General features: G+C 44.1%; 2 non-coding genes across 2 annotated transcripts, besides 2 other annotated features; both read left to right on the forward strand.

Annotated features, from left to right (window-relative positions):
- The first annotated feature begins 1350 nt into the window (after positions 1–1350).
- TRT-CGT5-1 (tRNA-Thr (anticodon CGT) 5-1) lies at positions 1351–1424 on the forward strand. Its single transcript has one exon. It is a non-coding gene; the product is annotated as a tRNA-Thr (tRNA).
- Positions 7952–8001: an enhancer, noted in NCBI's record as "active region_24296". NCBI's record gives its function as "activates an Ori minimal core promoter by ATAC-STARR-seq in GM12878 lymphoblastoid cells {active_cell/tissue: GM12878}" and the evidence as "EXISTENCE:reporter gene assay evidence [ECO:0000049][PMID:35858748]".
- Positions 14416–14509, forward strand: TRI-TAT2-3 (tRNA-Ile (anticodon TAT) 2-3). The gene is made up of 2 exons: positions 14416–14453; positions 14474–14509. It is a non-coding gene; the product is annotated as a tRNA-Ile (tRNA).
- Positions 14557–14626: an enhancer, noted in NCBI's record as "active region_24297". NCBI's record gives its function as "activates an Ori minimal core promoter by ATAC-STARR-seq in GM12878 lymphoblastoid cells {active_cell/tissue: GM12878}" and the evidence as "EXISTENCE:reporter gene assay evidence [ECO:0000049][PMID:35858748]".

Below are 22224 nucleotides of genomic sequence, written 5' to 3' on the forward strand. Positions count from 1 at the left end.
TACCTAAACATAAAACGACATTCTCAAAAACTGCCCTGCACAGGCTTGTTGGGACTTCACGATCCTTCTTGGACCTGCATCCCCCTCTTCTCTGGTACTCGGGTGATGACAAGGAGCTTCAGGAGAAAGGGTCCCTTCTACCCAGGCAAGTTTAGGATTTTGGAAAATAGAAACAAACAACTGGCTCCTCTGGGAGGCGAACCATTGATTCTAAGAAGTTCAGGATGGAGAACAGTGATAAAATTGACCTTGCATTCTCTCCGCTCTCACTCTCTGCCGCGTTAATATGCCCTTCCATTTCTTGTTTTGTTTTCCTATTGTTTGCGTTTATACCACTTCCGGTCACACGGGCATTGTTTTGCCGGTATGACTTTGGGGGATGAAGGTGGGGATGCGGAATATGTGATTGTTTTACCCTTTAAGACCTTTGGGACAGCTGGCTGGATTGCTCTTAAACAGCAGATTTCACAGCCTGTCTTCTGGAAGGGAGAGCTGCGTCCTCGGGATAAGACAGGCGCATAGAGCCTGGATTCCCCGCTTCCCAACCAGTGGCTCGCATTTTTTTCTGAGTTGTTTTAATGTTACTTGTATTTGTCAGTAGTCGAGGACTTTTTAAGTTTTTATTTATTTTATTTTTTTAAGGGATATTGTTTCTTTATGAGCACAGGGCCCCCGACTTGGGACAGGAGACTTCAGATTTATGGTTTAGTTTACTTTTCTACCCCGGTCTGCTTGTCCGAGCCGAATCTCAAATAGCTTTTCTCATGCCCCTCCCGGCCCCTTTCCCCTTGTGGAAGAGAACAAATTTCTGGTTTCTTTGCTACAGCGCCGTTGGATGGAGCTCTTTTATTTGGATTTCGGTGTCGCTCAGTGGAGAAGTAGAAACATGGCAAGGATTTACTCCCTGGGTGGAGGATCCAAAATGATACAATCTTAAAGACGACTGGAGCAGGCGGAGCCTCTCTTGGGCTTCTGTCCCCGGGAGGTGCTTCACTGCCCCTTTCTTTACTGTCTCACCCTTACCCTCACCTGTCAGTGTGGCTCTTTTGATTTATGATTTGGGGGAATTTGAGACAGATGAAGGCACTTTTCCCCCAAGGCGCTAAGAACTGAAGTTCAGAATACCTGGGCATTAAGCAGAGTGAAAAGTACTGCAGACAGTGGGGCGTGGCTAACAATGGCCGAAAGCTAATTGGAGGGGAGGCTAAAATTATTAGAGAATGCAGGGATCTGTGTTGTTTGACCATAAGCCAGAAAATCGGAAGAGGGAGAAAAATGAAAAATCAGCAACAAAACTGGGTCGAGAGTGAAAATAGCTTTAGTAAGAGGAATTAAGTTCAATTCTATCGTGGCCCTGTAGCTCAGCGGTTGGAGCGCTGGTCTCGTAAACCTAGGGGTCGTGAGTTCAAATCTCACCAGGGCCTAACAGACTGCCCTTTGGGTTCTGGTGTTTACCTACACTTCTTGTGTCTTATTTTTATGTTTTTTTGAGACAAAGTCTCGCTCACGTCACCCAGGCTGGAGTGCAGTGGCGCCATCTCGGCTCTATACAACCTCCGCCTTCCGGGTTCAAGCGATTTTTTCCCGCCTCAGCCTCCCGAGTAGATGGGACTACAGGCCTGCACCACCAAGCCCGGCTAATTTTTGTGTTTTAGGGTAGAGACAAGGTTTCGCCATGTTGGCCAGACTGGTTTGGAACTCCTGATCTCAAGTGATCTGCCCGCCTCGCCCTCCCAAAGTGCTGGGACTACAGGCGTCAACCACCGCGCCCTGCCGAAGGGTGCGTTTATTAGATGCCAAAACCTAAAACTGGAAATTATTCAAATCGATAAGCACCCATTTTAGCCCACCTTCTCAGAATACAGGAATGTACTGGTAGCAAAAGTAGGAAATGCTAGAAATACACTCTGGTTCCAAAATGGCAGAAGCAAGCTGGCTTCACTGCTTCCTACTGAAAACCAAAACTAAATACACAGCACCAAAATTATCACCAAACGTAAGGAATTCTAAAATTAAAATTCCTCATAACAGATGGAAATGAAACTGCTGTGCTATCTGAACTGTTGATGATACACGAAATTCAGCTGTGGGAATCTTTGAAGATCTACCAATACAAGAATTAGTGGCAATATAAACCAGCTAATAAATGTCTCTTTCTGATAAACTAATTTGTATCAAATCTCAGTCACCTGCAACCTAAGGAGTCCCCACTAATTTAGTCATTGTAGGCCTAAAGAAACCACATTATAATTATCGATTTTATGATGCTTATTTAATGGACTGTAAGCTCCCTGATAGCAGGCATCATATCTTATTTAATATTGTATCTCAGAGCCTTGCAGAGTATGAACCCTGGTCTCTGCTAAGTAACAGTTTCTTGAATGAAGCACAGCTAAAGAAATACAACCAGGCTGGGCACGGTGGCTCAAGCCTGTAATTTCAGGCCAAGGTAGAATCATTTTAGTCTAGGAGTTTAAGGTTGCAGTGAGCTATGGTCACGCCCCTGGGTGACAGAGCTGAGACCCTGTTGAAAGAAAGAAAAAAAAAGAAAGAAAGAGACAATCAGAATGTAATGAGTTTGTAAATACCGCAGGAGGTAGAAAATTTACCTGAAGCCTGAGAAATCAAAGTCAGCAAATATAGAACAAAGAAAACAACACAGCAAGCCCTGATAAAGATTCTACCTAAATGTAAAGTGACCAATCCTCCTGGTCTCAATTTATGCGTTAGAATCGGAATTGAGCTGCCTGCAAAATTGAACACCCAAAGATAACATCTGAGTGGCTCACATAAATTGTTAAAATCAGTAATCTATATCAGAGACTAAAATGATGGAGTTTCTCTCCACCACATTTGTTCTAAATACTGAATAACATAATAATGTCCACAAGCCACAAATACACTCCTCAAAATGGTAATTTGGATTCTTGAAATAATCCAACACTTTTTGTTGTACTAAGTTTGGAAAATCTACTTTAAATTGCTTAAGAATCAGGACAGGCACAGATTATTCATTTCCACTAAAATCCGCCAGAGCAGCTTTTAGTTGCTTGCACATTAGGACTATCATTCCTTTCTGAAAGCCCTCAGGGTACTTTATGTTTCCATGACTTCATAGATACTGCTTTCTCTGCATGCAATAATAATTTCATCCCTTCTTCTAGCTAAGTCCTACTAATTCAGATTTCAAATAATGTATCACTTTGCCCTCAATCTAGGTGAGAGATGCTTTTTCATAGCACCATTTGCACTCCTTTATTATATTTGAATAATATCTAGTAAATAATAATGTATTTTTTCTTTTCTTTTTTTAGAGGAAGTCTCACTCTTGTCACCCAGGCTGGAGTGCAGTGGCGCGATCTTGGCTCACTGCAACCTCCGCCCCCCGGGTTCAAGCTATTCTCCTGCCTCAGCCTCCCAAGTAGCAGGGATTACAGGTGCCCGCCACTATGCCTGGGTATTTTCTGTATTTTTAGTAGAGATGGGCTTTCAGCATTTTGACCAGGCTGGTCTCGAACTCCTAACCTCAGGTGATCTGCCCGCCTTGCCTTCCCAAAGTGCTGAGATTACAGCGCCTGGCCTCTTTCTGTATTTTTGAAACCACTTTTGCAAAGATTATAACAGTGGGAAAAGTATGACCATAAAAGAGATCTGACCTGACTCCATCTTGGCCTTTGCCTCCAAGCTGCCCTTATTATTCCTGGGTGTAGGTGGAACTAACTTTGGGAGGAATTTAATTTTTAACTATCATTTAAAAGCCGTAGCTTCTGAATTTTCAGGGGGCCTGATTTGAGTAACAGTAAAACTCCAATCTCCCATTTAGCTGGCTTTATGTGTATTAAACTCTTTCTCCATTGCCATTCCCCGTCTTGATAAATCAGCTCCACCTGGGCAGCTGGCAGGACGAACCTTTTGGGCAATTACATTTAGAAGTTTGGTAACCATGAGGATGTGTCTCCATTTTGTTTATCTATTTGTTTTTTCTAAATTCTGGGGTGACCTAAAAGGTATCTCAGTTTTGTTTTTGTTTGTTTGTTTGTTTGTCTGAGACAGAGTCTCACTGTGTCACACAGGCTGGAATGTCGTGGGGGAATCTCGGCTCACCGCAGCCACCACCTCCCCTGTTCAAGAGGTTCTTGTGCCTCAGCCTCCTGAGTAGCTGGACTACAGGCGTGTGCCACCACATCCAGCTAATTTCTGTATTTTTAGTAGAGACTGGGTTTCGCCATGTTGGCCAGACTGGTCTTGAACTCCTGGCGTCAAGCGATCTGCCTACCTCATCCTCTCAAAGTGCTAGGATTACAGGCATGAGCCACAGAGCCCAGCCAAGGTATCGGTTTTGATGGATTGAAAGTACTTGTTTTTCATGGAACATGGCTTTCTTTATAAATATTTACAAATATTTCTATTGAAGTTTTATTTCCTTTTCCACTGAAGTTATTCTCAACTTCAGACACACGTTACCTGATTTTGCTTAGTTATCCATTATCTTTCAATAAAATTTATAACTTTTTATATGTTTGTCTTTTTTCTTTGAATTATTTGAAATTTTCACTAACCTTTTCTTGCCACTCGGTTTTTTGGGGAAGGACCACAAACTCCTTTACTTGCTGTTTCTAATTTGTTAATTCTGCTACTGTTATAGCACACTCTTTTCTTTGCTCTTCAATCTCTGCTTTCACTCAATTCTGTTATCTTCTATAGGGGGAAATAAAACTTTTTCCTTGACTTTCTTAGGTTTAGTGAGTGGAGTCTTGGAAATTAAACTGACAAAAAACAATAATAGGAGAAAAGGCATACAAACTTTGTTTGATGCTATTATTTTAATTTTAATGTGTACACAGGGATCTCACAGAAAAGAAAGTAAAAACCCAAAGAAGTGTTTAGGCTTGAGAACTTATGCACTATTTAACAAAGGGTGATAAATTCTGGAGAACTGACAAGACAAATGAAAAGCATTTAGGCTTTTAGGTAAGGTAAGGTAAATATACAGATGGGGGGAAGATGTTAATGGAAATAAGGTTTGTTTAAGCAGATTGTAGATGATGCATTTCCAATGATAACAGTTGTCTCCTCTTCCCAGTATGTGAGAGGGGAGAGGGAAGACCTTCACAAAAGTAAATTTATGCTCTGCTCTTAGACAGAAAGGGGGAAGGTAGAGAGCATTTCTGGCATCTGGTGTTTCACTCAGTTGCCTTCAGCTAAAAATAATTCTTATGCTATAGTAGCATATTTTGAGATGCCATATTTTGATCCCCTTCACTTGTCTTTTTTTTTTTTCTTTTCTTAAGACAAGGTCTCCCTGTCACCCAGGCTGGAGTGCAATGGTGTGATGATAGCTCACTGGAGCCTCGAACTCCTGGACTCAAGCCATCCTCTCACCTCAGCTTCCCCAGTAGCTGAAACTATAGGTGCATGACACCACACCTGGGTAATTTTTAAAATTTTTTGTAGAGACGGGGTCTCAGTAGGATGCCCATGCTGATCCCAAACTCCTGTCCTCAAGTGATCCTTCCTCCTCAGCCTCCCAAAGTGTTGGGATTACAGGCGTGAGCCACAGCACAAAGCCCCCTTCATTTGTCTTTGAACTCATTTTCTTTGCATCCAGAGCATAAGCATATGACAAAGAATTCACCAACCAAGTTCATCCACATCAGGTTTTGATTCAGAAATTGTGGACATAGGCCGGACGCAGTGGCTCATGCCTGTAATCCCAGCCACCAAGGCAGGTGGATCACCTGAGGTTTGGAATTTGAGACCAGCCTGGCCAACATAGTGAAACCCCATCTCTACTAAAAATACAAAATTAGCTGGGTGTAGTGGCTCACGCCTGTAGTCCCAGCTACTCGGGAGGCTGAGACAGGAGAATCTCTCTTGAACCCGCGAGGTGGAGGTTGCAGTGAGCTGAGACTGCGCCTCCAGCCTGGGGCAACAGAGTGAGACTCCATCTAAAAAAAAAAAAAAAGAAAAGAAAGAAGGAAGGAAACGAAAGAAGGGAGGAAAGGAAAGAAAGGAAGGAAGAAAGAAAAGAAATGAAATTGTGGACATAAAGAAGCAGACAGTACAAGGCATCCATTCTGGTGGTGGTAGTAGCCAATATGTTCATTTTCCTGTAAAAGCCATGAACTATTGCCTTGTAGTGGCAACAGTGTGAGCAGTTCTGTAGTGTGATTTTGGGTGTTGTTTCTAGCTGTATAGTCTACAAGCCTGGTGTTCTGGCTTACTCAGGTGTTCTATGAACTACTTTATAATCTTTAGTGAATGCCTTATGTACTTCTAGTAGAGCTGGTTTAGCCATTTCAAAGTGACTGTCATACCGGAAGAACTCTAACTTGCCAGTTTTAAATTGTTCTTCTAGCTTAGGTGAAATTGTTGGTCTGAGTGTTTGGAGTGGTGATTCCATACGGGTCTGCAGTAACTCAGTTATTGCCTCCAAGCAGGAAATAATTTGTCCGAGGGGCATAAGGTAGAGTAAGAGACCAAGGCAAGTTTTAGAGCTTGGAAGAAGGCCAAGCATGCAACTTGAGAGATCCGTGTGCTCTTTGGCCCTTGCCTTGGGGTTTTATACATTGGCATGGTTCCGGGGTTTCTGTTTCTCCTCTTTTGATTTTTCCCTTAAGGTGGGCTATCTGCATGCTCAGTGGCCTGCCAGCCCTTGGGAGGGGCCACATGCATTGTGTGTTTACTGAAGTTGTGCACATGCTCATTTGAGGTGTTTTCTCTTAGCAGTCTAGTGTTTCTAGTGTTCCTAGAGGAAGGTCAGACACTGGTTAAACGCCATCATTTTGCCTCTTAGTGCACATGCTTGACCCCCTCGCCCAGCTCCCGAGACCTTACTGGGAAGCTGCTGATCACCAACACCAAATGTTTTCTATCTATTGGGAGACTGCCTCTACTGGGAGACTGCCTTTCCCTGGTGCTGGCTATGACTAATTATTATTTTATTTTATTTATTATTTGTTTATTTATTTATTTTTTTGAGACAGAGTCTCGCTCTGTCGCCCAGGCTGGAGTGCAGTGGCGTGATCTCGGCTCACTGCAAGCTCTGCCTCCCGGGTTCAGGCCATTCTCTCGCCTCAGCCTCCCAAGTAGCTGGGACTACAGGCACCTGCCACCACACCCTGCTAATTTAGTTTTTGTATTTTTAGTAGAGACGGGGTTTCACCGTGTTAGCCAGGATGGTCTCGATCTCCTGACCTGGTGATCTGTCTGCCTCGGCCTCCCAAAGTGCTGGGATTACAGGCGTGAGCCACAGCGCCCAGCTGACCAATTATTATTCCAGAGAGACAGTTTAACAACTCCCTGATCATCACCTGCTGGTGACCTGACATTCTTGGGGCAGGGGATTGGGGCAGCTAGGCAGACATGCCATGCTCATGTCTGCCTAGTGCCTACTCTAACATGAGGTTGTCAGAAATAATTAGCCTTAGGACCATATCCTTCCACTAACCCTATCTTTTCCGATCACCAGCCTCACCTTCCTTCTGGAGAGAGAAAGGTGTAGTGGATTTAGTGTTCTTACGGTCTGTGATGGCAAATTATGTGTGTTAACTTGATTGGGGTAAGGAACACCCAAAAAAGCTGATAAAATGTCATTTCTGGATGTCTGTGAGAGTGTTTTTGAAAGAGATTAGCATTTCAATCAGCAGACTGAGTAAAGCAGATCCACCCTCACCAGTGTGCCTGGACATCATTCAATCCATTAAAGGCCTGAAAAGAACAAAAAGTGAAGGAAGGGATAATGCTCTGTCTTCTTGAGTTGGGACATGCATGTTCTCCTGTCATTGGAGCTCCTGGCTTTGGGATCTTCAGACTGTAGGATTACACTAGAGCCTCCCTTCTTGTCCTAGGACATTGGACTCAGACTGAATTACACCACTGGTTTTACAGGCTCTCCAGCTTGCAGACAGCAGATCATGGGACTTCTTGACCTTTGTAACCTCACAAGCTAATTTTCAGAATAAATCTACTCTCATATATCTAGTATCTATCTATCTATCTACCTGTCTATCTATTTGCTATTCGTCTGGTTTCTCGGAGAATCCTGACTAATACTTGGCTTTCTATATGACGCTAATTACTCCACAGTGATGAGAGGGAGCTTTAGTGTGACTTTCTGGGCATCTTTGTGGCAACTGACCCCTATTTCCACATTATTTTATTTTTTTCTTTGTGTCTTGCCAAGCCTTGATTATTTCTTGGAGATCACTCATTCTGGGTAGACTCCAAAATCACTCCCAGAGACTCTCCTAACTGTATCCTACAGAGAGGAGATGCCAAAATAGTGAAGTTTGACAGCTCTATCTTGTGACAAGTACCCCTTTTTAGTGTAGCAGGAGAGGGGTTTCTAGTATAGAGAGATACTGTGCAACTTTTTCCTGGTCTGCATTCCTCCACTCCTCCCCCTACCCCCTCACCCCCTGCCCTACACAGTGTACATACCACCTGTGAACCTGAAATATCTGAGACAGGTCTCAATCAACTTAGAAAGCTTATTTTGCCAAGGTTCAGAAAATGCCTGTGACACAGCCTCAGAAGGTCCTGATGACATGTGCCCAAAGTGGTCAGGGTACAGCTTGCTTTTATACATTTTAGGTAGACATGAGACATTAATCAATATGTGTAAGATGTACATTGGTTTGGTCTGGAAAGGGACAACTTGAAGGAGTTGAGCGGAGGGGGTTTCCAGGTCATAGGTAGATAAGAGACAAACAGTTGCATTCTTTTGAGTCCTTGATCAAGGACTCAATTCACTGAATACACAATTTACCTGGGGGCAGCAAATTGTCATTTATGCCTTAGTCTCACTCAGGGAAACTGCATTTTTACATAAACAATAGGGCAGAGGAAGCAATCAGATATGCATTTGTCCCAGGTGAGCAGAGGGATGACTTTCTGTCTCACATCTGTGAAGATAAGCTATCAATTTACATTGCCAGGATAAAATTCAACAGAACTGTTTTAGGGTAAAGATCTTGAGGCCCACAAGGAATTTTTTTGTGGGAAAACTGTGAGGGAGGTATGTAGCTTTTTCATCTTTGTAGTTATCTTATTTGGGATTAAAATAGGAGGCAGGTTTGCCTGACGCATTTCCCAGCTTGACTTTTCCCTTTGTCTTAGTGGTTCTGGGGTCCTGAGATTTATTTTCATTCCAAGCACCAAAGTGGAGAATTTTTTTATTTTTTATTTTTTATTTTTTTGAGACAGAGTTTCACTCTTGTTGCCCAGGCTGGAGTGCAATGGCACAATCTCAGCTCACTGTAACCTCTGCCTCCTAGCTTCAAGCAATTCTGCTGCCTCAACCTCCAAAGTAGCTGGGATTACAGGCATGTGCCACCATGCCCCACTATTTTTTTATACTTTTTGTAGAGATAGCGTTTCACTATGTTGGCCAGGCCGGTCTCGAACTCCTGACCTCAGGTGATCCACCCGCCTCGGCCTCCCAAAGTGCTGAGATTATAGGCGTGAGCCACCGTGCCTGGCCATGGTGACTTTTAATCTCCTCTTCTCTCAGTGATTAATTTTCTCTGGTTGTTTGATGAGATTCCTAGGAAAAAAGTTCAAGACAATTGCATTCATTTTGGAAGAACTTCCTTCAGTCATGTATGGGGAACTTCAGATACAGCCCCTCCCTGCACTTGCTCTTGGAGGGGAGAAACAAGGGAAGGCCAGAGAGACCCTAATTTTGAGGCCGCTTCTAAGAGCCTTCCAGTTTCCTTTAAGTCTAAGAACTCAGCATGCCCAAGCACCATACTTTGGGGTATCCTTTTCTAATCCCCAACATATACATACAATTTGAAAGAATCACCCAAAGAATGAACTATTAAGGGCAACAATCTAGAATAAAAATTCTGAGAATTGGCCGGGTGCAGTGGCTCACGCCTGTAATCCCAGCACTTTGGGAGGCCGAGGCAGGCAGATCACGAGGTCAGGAGATCGAGACCAGCCTGGCTAACACAGTGAAACCCCATCTCTACTAAAAATACAAAAATTAGCCGGGTGTGGTGGCACACGCCTGTAGTCCCAGCTACTTGGGAGGCTGAGGCAAGAGAATCGCTTGAACCCGGGAGGTGGAAGTTGCAGTGAGCCGGGATCGCGCCACTGCACTCCACCCTGGGTGACAGAGTGAGACTCTGTCTCAAAAAAAAAAAAAAAAAAGTTCTGAAGAATTGACATATATTTCAAGGTTCTCAGGTGATACATTGATTCTATAAATGAATGCATTTAAGCATTCATTAGACAAAAAACTGAAAACAAGCCCTAATATCCTCCAATTTGGGCTGGGCACTGTGGCTCATGCCTATAATCCCAGCACTTTGGGAAGCTGAGGTGGGTGGATCACCAGAAGTCAGGAGTTCGACATCAGCCTGACCAACATGGTGAAACCTCGTCTCTACTAGAAATAGAAAAATTAGCCAGGCGTAGTGGCCAGTGCCTGTAATCCCAGCTATTCGAGAGGCTGAGGCAGGAGAATCGCTTGAACCTGGGAGGCGGAAATTGCAGTGAGCCGAGATTGCACCATTGTACTCCAGCCTGGGTGACAGAGTGTGAAAAACAAAAAACAAAAACAAAAAAAACTTTGTACACCCTGAAATGTTTAAAATACTATTTCAACATTTTCACTTTATTAATATATCCTTAAATATTTGTGATGAGGAATACACCAAAAGGTAAACACCATTTTTCTCAGGTTGTAAAAAGGTTTATCACTTTTCTCAAATGGCAAAGGAGGCACCGCCATGTCTGATTCTGGAACAAAATGATTAGAGCACTGAGTCTTGGACCCTTGAGAATCATCTTTTTTTAAATAATTTTTTTTTAAAAAAATTCCCTGCCATTGTTGCACAGAGCATAATATTTTTGAGAGGGAATTTGAGTATATTACCTATGGTTGCTGTTTGAGATGAGTTTAAATAGGACATATCAGTTGCTACCAGATCTCTATCTCCTTGAAAAGTAAAGACTTTGTAATTTTTCTATATTTGTATAACTATTGCAAAAACAGCATGTTTACCTTCATGTTTTTGTTCCCCTACTTAAAACATATATATACATATTTTTTGACAAGATCTTATTCTGTGGCCCAGGCTGGAAGCCTGGAGTGCAGTGGCACAATTACAGCGCACAACAGCCTCGACCTCCCAGGCTCATGTGATCCTCCCACCTTAGTCTCCTGAGTAGCTAGGACCACAGGTGACTGCCACCACACCCGGCTAATTAAAACTTTTTTTTTTTTTTTGCAGAGATGGGGTCTCACCATACCAGGCTAGTCTTCAACTCCTGGCCTCAAACAATCCTCCTGCCTCAGCCTCCTAAAGTGTTGGGATTACAGGCTGAGCCACCCCACCCGGCATCCCAAAACTGGCCAAAACGTAATATTAACTACTACTCCCAAAACTACTTTTTTTTTTTTTTTTTGAGGTGGAGATCGGCTCTTGTTGCCCAGGCTGGAGTGCAATGGCACGATCTCGGCTCACCGCAATCTCTGCCTTCCAGGTTCAAGCGATTCTTCTGCCTTAGCCTCCCGAGTAGCTGGGATTATAGGCATGCGCCACCACACCCAGCTAATTTTGTAGTTTTAGTAGAGATGGGGTTTCTCCATGTTGGTCAGGCTGGTCTTGAACTCCCGACCTCAGGTGATCCGCCCACCTCAGCCTCCCAAAGTGCTGGGATTACAGGCGTGAGCCACCCCCTCCTTGGCCTCCCCAAACTACTTCTAATCACTCATAATGACATTATCAATAGTATCATGATTTCTATCAGTCAGGATCTCAAGAGAATACAGATGTCTTATTCTAATTGCAATAATTTTAGAAGGATTTAATAAAGGGACTGTTTAATAAAGGTGTCTAGTAAGGGTATGGGCAGGCTGGGGGAAGGAGAAAGAAGAGGGCAGTACTCTAGGGTTACTGATAGCAGAGTGGTCTACACCCCTAGACCTGAAGGAGAGAGGAAAAAACCATTACTGAAATTTGGAGGAAAGGTCCACTTTGATGAACTAGCCAGAGTTGACCCACAGAAAGAGATTCAGATAAATACTCTAGCCTCTTTCTCCAATCTCATTCTGATCTTATGCTGTGCTCCCACTAATGAAATTCAACTTGAGGCCGGGCATGGTAGCTCACACCTATTATCCCAGCACTTTGGGAGGCCGAGGTGGGTGGATCACAAGTCAGGAGTTTGAGACCAGCCTGGTCAACACAGTGAAACCCCGTCTGTGCTAAAAATACAAAAATTAGCCGGGCATAGTGGCACGTGCCTGTAGTCCCAGCTACTTGGGAGGTTGAGGCAGGAGAATCACTTGAACCTGGAAGGCAGAGGTTGCAGGGAGCTGAGATTGCCACTGCACTCCAGCCTGGACAATGGAGCGAGACTCCGTCTCAAAAAAAAAAAAAAAAAAATTCAACTTGAAGCCAGAGGCCCGGGGTGTCTATTGGTGTAGATCGTAACAGGTCAGTTTTCTATGGCACAGTGGGTAGAGAACTGAAGACAGTCACTTTTTTAACATCAACAATTCAAAACATTCAGCTTTCCATCCACCTTTTTCTCCGATCATAATTTTGTGCTTATAAATCCTATATTATGTCACTGACTGGCCTCCTGATAAGAGTTGTTTAATATCCAGTGACATACTGTGAGTCCTATAAGTTTTCATCCCTTAAGAACAATAATTCCCCAAATGCTGGTTCTTCATATCTAGATCTGGTTTTGGAACATAAAATCATTAGTATTGTTATGAGGTTTATAGAACTCACTGAGAACAGTGCCTGACCCTTGTGTCTTAGTACTTTAGGGCTATATTAACAAAATACCTTTGACTGGATAATTTGTAAAGAATATAATTTTTTTTTATAGTTCTGGAGACAGGGAAGTCCAAGATCAAGGCTCCAGTAGATACGGTATCTGGTGAGGGATGCTCTCTCTGCTTCAAAGGTGATGCCTTTTGCTGCATCCTCACAGGGCAGAAGATATGAGAGGGCCAGGCAGCCCTCTGAAGCCTCTTTTACGTAGGCAGTAATCCCATTCAGGAGGCCAGAACCCTCAGGACTTAATTACTTTCCAAAAGGCCCCACCTCCTAATATCACAATGGAGGTTAAGTTTCAATATAATTTTGGAGAAACACAAACACTCAAACCGTAGCACTATGGTAAGCTCTACTGTTATGAGCTACTGTTATTTAGATGGAGCAATCTCTAGAGGTTCAGGCAGAGCTTTGTTGCTCCCTCTGGGACTGTGTAGTGAGAATGTAGGAGCTTCTCTGGTGAGGTGGTCATCTACCAAGGAGCCTGTGTTGCTTCTCCCTGCTCCTCACCTTAAGGTGTTATTTTAAACACATGAAATGATCTCAAAACAGCTATGTAATAGACATCAAGATATGGAAGCATCCCCTTTTTTTTAAAAGTATGGAGAAACTTAGTCGCTGGTCCGTTACTCTCAGTCCTATTTGTTAAGTGTTCCGTGGTCAGGAATAGGCACGCTATTCCTTTTACACAATTCTTCTGGTTGACAGAAATTATTCTATAAAAGCCAACAGACTTCATATCTTGTGTGTATGTGTACTTTGGCAGCTGCCTTTTCCCCCAGACCAAAATCGAACAATCAAGCAACAAAGTTGGCCTTAAAATTGAGGCCCCAGAGATGAGGTTACTGAGCGGGTATATGTCACAGAGCCAAACTTTCTGCAATGAATTGGAAAAGAACATCAAGACAGAGGGAGGAGCGCTGGGGGTGAACACCGCCTTGACCTTTGTAACCTGCTGCACAAATAAGGAGTGGTTGCTGTGCCAGTTTTCCCTGAAGAGGTGCCTGACCAGCTGGCTCTGTGAATTCGAATACAGTTTTCAGGCAGGCTCTGGGAGAGTTTTGGGGAATCCCGAAAGACAGCCCAGAGATGCTGGACTGCGAATGCAGGCGCGCTGCAGGCGAGGCTGGGAGGGCCGCCAGGAGCGCTGCGGGTATCGGGAGACACGCAGAGGGAGGGGCAGGCGGCGGGCTCCGCTTCTTCGCGTCCTGGCTCTGAAAGCAACCACAGGCCAGCGGGGCGGTGCTAGGTGAAGCTACGAAGAAGCCAAATAGCTCGCGTCTTCTACAAAAACCGTGTTCTTGCTAGAACGTTGGCAAGGAGAAGCCGGAGTCTCTCCTTTTTCTCCTCGGCTTTTCTCGGGCTTTCTGAAAAGAGCACCTGCATATTCCCAGGAAATTTTGGCTCCTGATGGCATGGGGGAGGATCACATTCATCTTCCAGGAGAGATGGAGATATCTTGATCAAATTGTGTTTTATGCAAGAGGCGAGGGGCTGCGAAGGGAGGATCTCGGGCAGCTCAGCGCGCTGCCGCTCCGGCGCGAGGCCGGGGTCGAGCGCTTCAGTAGCTCATGGCTCTGTAGAGTGCGCATGGCCAAGCAAAGGAAAGCATGCTCCAGTGGCGCAATCGGTTAGCGCGCGGTACTTATACAACAGTATATGTGCGGGTGATGCCGAGGTTGTGAGTTCGAGCCTCACCTGGAGCATGTTTTCTTCCAATTGCGATTTCAGACATTTCACGATAATGCATTTTTCCCTTATCTTTAAAGTAAAAAGCTAAAATGGATAAATTTTCCATGGTGAGCCCATAAAAATTCCTTTGATCAAGGAGGGATATTTGGCAGATTTCAGAGAAGGGAAGAAATCCAGCAAGACCCAAATTGAACTCATCCAGCAAACTCATTTCTCCTCAGTCAGAAGGCCTCACAGCCAGGCTGTACAGCTTCAATGAAGCTTCCTCCCTCCCTTGCTCCTCCACTTAAAAACTATTCTTCAGCTCTTTGGGGACTGAGCAAGGAGGTGGAAAAACTGGGTTTTATTCTCTGTGATTTGTGTAGCTGTCACCGGGGTTCATCAATGTGCAGAAAGTGCTCCCAGGTACCTTAGCTTTGATATCTACAAGGTTGGCAGTGAAGTTGTTGAACTCCACCTGTGAAACCTAAATGTGTTCTGTGTAGAGCTCCACTGTCTACTTTACAAAAACCTGACTAGAAAACAAGAAATGCTAATTTTCCCCCAGCAGTGAAACATCAGACATAAGTGGCTGGGTATGTATTTCTTCCTAATTTCATCAAAAAGTAAACAAACTGCCTTGTTTGGAAAAACACATTCATCTTGATGCTGGTGTCTGAAATACATGATTCCAGGTGGCTGTGCTTTTATCCAGTCTTTCCTGGATTTCATTTGGTCTTGTAGAATCTTCCTCCTGTTCCTTAAATATGGATATTCCCCCAGTTCTGTCCTCAGCTTTCCACACATGTAGTGATATACGCATTCTGTGTTAGTCATGATTCTCCAGAGAAACAGAACCACTAGGATATATAAAGGTAAATAAGAGGAATTATGAGAATTGGTTCACAGGATTGTGGAGGCGAGAAATCTCACAATATGCTGCCTGCAAGCTAGAGAATCAGGAAAAACAGTGGTGTGATTTAGGTCTGCATCCCAAAGCCTGAGGAAGCAGTGGGCCAGGGAGAAGGGAGACTCCTCTGGAGTCCCAGATTTTGAAGGCCTGAGAACCTGGAGGGAGCTCTGATGTGGGAAAGCAAAAATATCACCCCTGCATCTTTTAAGTCCTTGATGGTGGCACTAATCTCTACAATCCCTTCAGAAATGTAGTATTGCTTTTGATTTACTATTTTCCTAGGTAGAGGTAGTTCTAATGCCTTCCAGTTGTTCTTTCCCACTTTAATAGCCCTCATTCCATAGGTCAGGGAACTAATGTGAGGATTCTGCCAGATGCCAACTATGTCCATTCCAATTATGCTTTCTGAAACTGGGGAAATAACCACAGGATGGGTTCAGGGACTTACTGGACCCACTGTGAGTCAGACCTGAGCTAAAACTTCACTGGTCACCTGACTTCTATAAGCCCCTACTCTGACTGGAGTACCACAGTGATCTGGGGTCTCCTGGAATCAATGTCAGCTCAGAACTATAGTCCCTAATGAGTCTGATTATTTCCTTGCTCCCAGTGCTCAGTTACTCTGTTAAAAGATGGTAGATCCCTTTGAGGAAGGCTGGGAAAAAGATTAATAGTATAAATTTTTGGTAGCGTACCAGGTCCTTCCTCAAGAAGACCCGACTGCCACTCCATTCAAAGGGTTCTGAGTCTATAAACTGGCTCAAGTCTGGTGTAGCAAGCTGAAAGAGTGAGGGTCGTGATCAACTCAGTATACCACTGGAGGCTATATGAGCAAACAGCAAACTGTTCTCATAAATGCAGAATGTTGGCAAGCTGACAGCTGTGTCTGCCACCCAGAGGAATGCTGAGGGCAGTCACACCCCAAGCACAGTGTTTCTTGTGATAAGGCACATCTGAAGCCTGTTAGCAATAATGTGAACCTGTGACTCATCAAGCAGCTGACCAGTCGTTACCTCCTCCTCCCTGCTCTTTCTACCCAATAAATACGAAGGGCTGTAGAAGCTCAGGGCTGCCTTTGCTCACTAGAAGCAAGGAGCTCTCTTCTTCTTCCCTGGATCCCTTCTTTACAACAGTTTCTTTTGTTTTAAGTTTTCATTTCTGTGTTCATCCTCCTTAGTTCAGTCCCGTAGTAACCGTGCAAACTGTGGCAGTCTGGGAACTGAGAAGCCATGACTCTCTGTTTTTATCAAGTTAGACTTTTTTTCACTTGATCTGGTAGTTTTCTGTTTATACAGATCAAGTAGTTGATTGTCTTACTTGATAATTTGCCCTAGTAACAACTTAATAACTGATGTGTCTCATTCCTAAATTGCATAAATATTGTGAAATTGCTCTGACAAATTAGAAGTGCACCATTGGCATATTTATCTTCCCTTTTATGCATGATGGTAAAATAAAAACATCATTCTGCTAGGAAAAAAAAAAAGAATTTAGTGTCCTTCCTATCTATTTCACTTCTGAGAACACCATGATCAACTAGCCAAAGCCATAGGTCTATGAGAGTCAGACTATTCTAATTGCTGCTTTGACTCCTCAGTTCATCAGGGTCACTACACTCACCTTTCCTTTGATGACTGAGTGTTTTAGATTTACTATTTTTCTAGATAGAGGCAGCTCTAATGGCTTCCATTTGGTCTTTCCCACCATAGCAGCCCTCACCCTACCAGTCATGGAGCCAATGTGAGGGTTCTGCCAGCTGCTAAGTGTGTCTATGCCAATTATGCATTCTGGCACTGGGGAAATGACCATAAGATGAGTCCAGGGACCCACTGTAAGTCGGATCTGAGCTAAAACTCCATTAATTACCTGGCCTCCGTATGCCCCTACTTTAACTGGAGGACCACAATGACGATTTGGGTCCCCTGGAATCAACATCAGCTCAGAGCCAATGTCCAGTAGCCCCCAAAATGTCTGATCATTTTCCTTTCCCCAATGCACAGTTGCCCTGGTAAAAGGCGAGGGGTCTTCTTGAGGAAGGATGGGAGAAAGATTCACTGCATAATTTGTCAGTAATGTAGTGGGGTCCTTCCTCGAGGGGACCTTCATTCAAAAGGTTCTGGGTCTGTAAACTGGCTCAAGTCTGGAAATTGATTGAGGGGCCATGATTCTGGTTTTTATAATTCAAATTAATCTTTTGTCCATTCGACTTAGAAGTTTTCTGCTTGTATAAATTAAATAGGAATGCAGTAGGCTTCCTATCAATTTCACTTCTAGGAACACTGTGATTAATTAGCCAATGCCAGAGCTCTACACAAGTCAGACTATTCTGATTGCTGCTTTGACTCTGCTGTCCATTATGGTAGCAATGTCCACCTTGCCTTTGATAGTTGAGTGCTGCCACTTGGCCCCTGCCACCTCAGGATCCAATTATTCCCATTGTATTTAAGTTTTGTAGTCGAGTGACTGTAGTTCCCACTGTTAGATCCGACATACAGAGAAGAGCAATTATAGGGCTCTTCAAAGATGCAGGTGCTACCCTCACAAATCTATTTTGCAAAGCATGGTCAAGGGTGGATCTTCTGGACCTTCCCAGCTGGGATGAGTAGGTCTAAAGTGACTAATTCACTCCACCATCCCAATCTCCCTAAGCCTTTGGATCCCTTTCTCTACATTAAATCAAGAGAGATCAGGCATTTCCAGCTTGCTCACAGTGGACCATCTTTGAACCCATATTTCAGCTAACCAAGCAGATAAACTATTAGAACCCTTTTTTTTTTTTTTAGCTCCCTGAGCTGCAACATTAAATGTAGAGTCCCTACTTAGTGGACCCAAGTCAATCAATTCCACCTGATCCAACTCTATGTTCCTTCCACCATCATCCTATACCTTTAAATATCCATCCCCATGCCTGTTCTCCAGATTTCTGTTTATATAAATTAGATAACTCAAACAGTTCTTTACAAGTGTAGTGCACCTCCTCATGGGTCACACTCTCAATCTCACCTCCAGGGGCCTACCAGGACTTTAGTCTAGTTATAGGTCCAGAAGCAAACAGGGGTGTTGGGGGTTCTCCTGAGGAGAATCAACATTATTTTGCCTGGCAACTGCTTCAGGGGAGGCCACCTATTGCCTCAGGCAGCTCAGGGTTTATTTCCTCAGACAAAAGTGGAAAGGCTGATGGCAGCATGGGTCGGGGAGGGGATGTTGCCACTACTGGGGCTGGAGAAGCTGTTCTTTCTGGCAAAATAGGTTCATCAGAGTTTACAAACTCAGTGCCCCCGGCTTCATCAGAGTTTACAAACTCAGTGCCCCCAGCTTCATCAGGGTCTTCTTACACATCCCCAATTTCAGGGTCCCATTCTTTTCCAGTCAATGCTGTCACTTTAATAGTAGACACCTGGTGAGGCTACGCATGCATCTTTCATTGCAGGTCAGCCACTTGCATGGTAAGAGCTTGTGTCTGTTTTTCCACAATGTCAGCTCTTTCTCTACAGGAGATAAGACTCTCACTCAGGGCAATCTTAGCAGATTTGAGGCTCAGTATCTGCTTCTGAAGCCGGGAGACAGAATCCTTGAGTTCATCATTTTCTTTCATCACTTTGTCCACTGAACTTAGAAGCAACCAACCAGTCTCATTATGTTCCTTGGTTCTCCACATATGGTCAAAGGTATTACGTATAAAGTCGCTAAACTTGCTTCTCAGGAGTGGTGAATCAGGAGTGTCAAATGTATTTATTTTGCATAACTGTCTAAACAGTTCATGCCAAGGACTACCAGTGTTCGCCATACTATCAGAAGTAGAGTCCTTAGCATTTCTGGGCTGAACCATATTAAGCAGCCAACTCCAGAAACTCCAAAACCAATGAAAGAACTCCATCCTTAATATTCTGTTCCTCTAGAACCACTCCTGGTACAAAAATCTGTATTAGTCAGGGTTCTCCAGAGGGACAGAACTTTTTGTTTTCCCCTTTTCTTCTCTTTGTTTGCCTCCATTTCTTCCAGTGGTGATCACTTGCTTATCCTTCAGGTTATGGTGGGAACTTCACATCCAACAGTTTGGATCAGACACACTCCTGTGAGCTTCATCTGTTGTGCTAGGTACTTGATATGTTATTTCAATCTTCTTTTTACTTCACTCTCTCATCTATTGGATCATGAGCTCTTTGGTGGGGAAGAAAAAGATGATATCTTAATTGTGTTTGTTTCTTAAGTACCAAGCTCAATTTCTGACTCTGAATGGATTGTAACTCTCAGAATTCTCTCTACCTGTGATATCAGGAAGTGTTTGCACCCTTTATACCAGGTGTCCCAACCCTGGGCGGCGGAGTGGTGCTGGTCCATGGCCTGTTACACAGCAGGAGATGAGTGGCGGTTGAGCATTACTGCCTGAGCTCTGCCTCCTGTCAGGTCAGCCGGGGCATTAGATTCTCATAGAAGTGCCAACTCAATTGTGAACTGTGCATGCAAGGGATCTAGGTTGCAGGCTCCTTATGCGAATCTAATGCCTGATGATCTGAGGTGGAACAGTTTCATCCCAGAACCATACCCCACCCCCGCCCCCTACAGGCTGTGAAAACATTGTCTTCCACTAAACTGGTCCTTGATGCCAAAAAGGTTGGGGACCACTGCTTTACATCTTTTGTCTCCCCCATTTTCACCTCTTAGGATGAACATTAATTTTATTTATTTTTATTTTTTATTTTATTTTTTTTTTTGAGACGGAGTCTTGCTCTGTCGCCCAGGCTGGAGTACAGTGGCATGACCTCAGCTCACTGCAAGCTCCACTTCCCGGGTTCACACCGTTCTCCTGTCTCAGCCTCCCAAGTAGCTGGGACTGCAGGCGCTCGCCACCACGCCCGGATAATTTTTTTGTATTTTTAGTAGAGACAAGGTTTCACCATGTTAGCCAGGATGGTCTCGATCTCCTGACCTTGTGATCCGCCCACCTCGGCCTCCCAAAGTGCTGGGATTACAGGCGTGAGTCACCACACCCGGCCAATTTTATTTATTTTTAGCAAACTAAAGGTTAAGCATAGGTACTGAGAAATAAATATTAAAGGAGAGTGTTGTCTATCGTGTAGGTTCTCACTGAAGACTGTGAAGGTCAAAGGTCAGAGAAGGGGCTTCCTCCTGCAGATAATAAAGTAGCAGTAGCCGCGCTGTCTCCAGTTCTTCTCTGCACCTAGAATGCTCTTCATCTTGTCTACACAACAGATTTCTACTCATTTTTCATAGTCCGGGGGGAAAAAAATCAATGAATTCTTGTTTTTTACTATAAGATACTTCAGGTGGCTCACACTTGTAATCCCAGTGCTTTGGGAGGCCTAGATTGGAGGATCCCTTGAGCCCAGGAGTTTGAGACCAGCCTGAGCAACACAGGGAGACCCCATCTCTACAAAAACTAAATTAATTAATTGGGCATGTCTCAGCTACTCAGGAGGCTGAGGTGGGAGGATCCCTCGAGCCCAGAAGGTCAAGGCTGCAGTGAGCTATGATCACTCTCACTGCACTCCAGCCTGAACAACAAAGTGAGACTCTGTCTCAAAGAAAAAAACAACAACAACAACTTCATTACACTTAATTCACATTTATCTCACTGTAAAAAAAGATATATTTATATATAGAACTGCCTTTCCTACTAGTTTGCTTATCAAGAAGAATGTAACCATATCAGATTCGTTACCCAGTGCATGGCAAATCAATACACTGAGACATGAGATTGCAGCAGAGGAATAGGTTTAATCATGGACAGCCCAACAAGGAGATGGAGGAAAACCTCAAATCTGCCTCCCTGAGGAGTTTGAAGTAGGGATTTTAAGGGATTTGGAGTGGATCAAGGAGTGGGGATCGTTGATTGGCCCAAGAGTGTTGGGTGGGACAGGCGTGGTGGTTCAGGCCTGTAATCCTAGTGCTCTGGGAGGCTGAGGCAGAAGGATCATTTGAGGTCAGGAGTTCGAAACAAGCCTGGCCAACATGGTAAAACCCCTTCTCTACTAAAAAAAAAATACAAAAAAATTAGCCGGGTGTGGTGGCGGGTGCCTGTAATCCTAGCTACTCAGCAGGCTGAGGCAAGAGAATTGCTTGAACCCAGGAGGCAGAGGTTGCAGTAAACCAAGACTGCGCCATTGCGCTCCAGCCTGGGTGACAGAGCAAGACTCTGTCTCCAAAAAAAAAAAAAAAAAAAAAAAAAAAACGTGTAGGGTAAAGTCATGGGATGAGGAGATGAAAAAACTGCATTTTCTTTTTTTTTTTTTTTTAATTTTAGAAGGAGTCTCACTCTGTTGTCCAGGCTGGAGTGCAGCGGCACCATCTTGGCTCACTGCAACCTCTGCTTCCCAGGTTCAAGTGATTCTTCTGCTTCAGCCTCCTGAGTAGCTAGAATTACAGGCATGTGGCACCATGGCCACCACGCCTAGCTAATTTTTGTATTTTTAGTACAGACGGGGTTTCACCATGTTGCCCAGGCTGGTCTCAAACTCCTGACCGCGAGTGATCCATCCACTTTGGCCTCCCAAAGTGCTGGGATTACAAGCATGAGCCACCGCACCTGGCCCTTTTTTGTAAAATTAAAAAATTGTTGCTGTCATTGTTAGAGAGAGAGTCTCCCTATGTTGCCCAGGCTGATCTTGAACTCCTGGCCTCAAGTGATCTTCCAATTTTGGCCTCCCAAAGTGCTGGGATTACAGGTGTGCACCACTGTGCTCTGCCTGAAACTGCATTTTCACACTGATTCAGTTCCTTTATGAATGTCAGCGCTAGTTGGTGTTGGCCTTTCTGCTGGAATTCAGGATCTGAAAAGCATCTTAAAAACGCTTATGATTTTCTGAGTGCAGTGGC

This window comes from Homo sapiens, chromosome 6 (genome assembly GCF_000001405.40).
Source record: "Homo sapiens chromosome 6, GRCh38.p14 Primary Assembly".
NCBI lineage: Eukaryota > Metazoa > Chordata > Mammalia > Primates > Hominidae > Homo > Homo sapiens.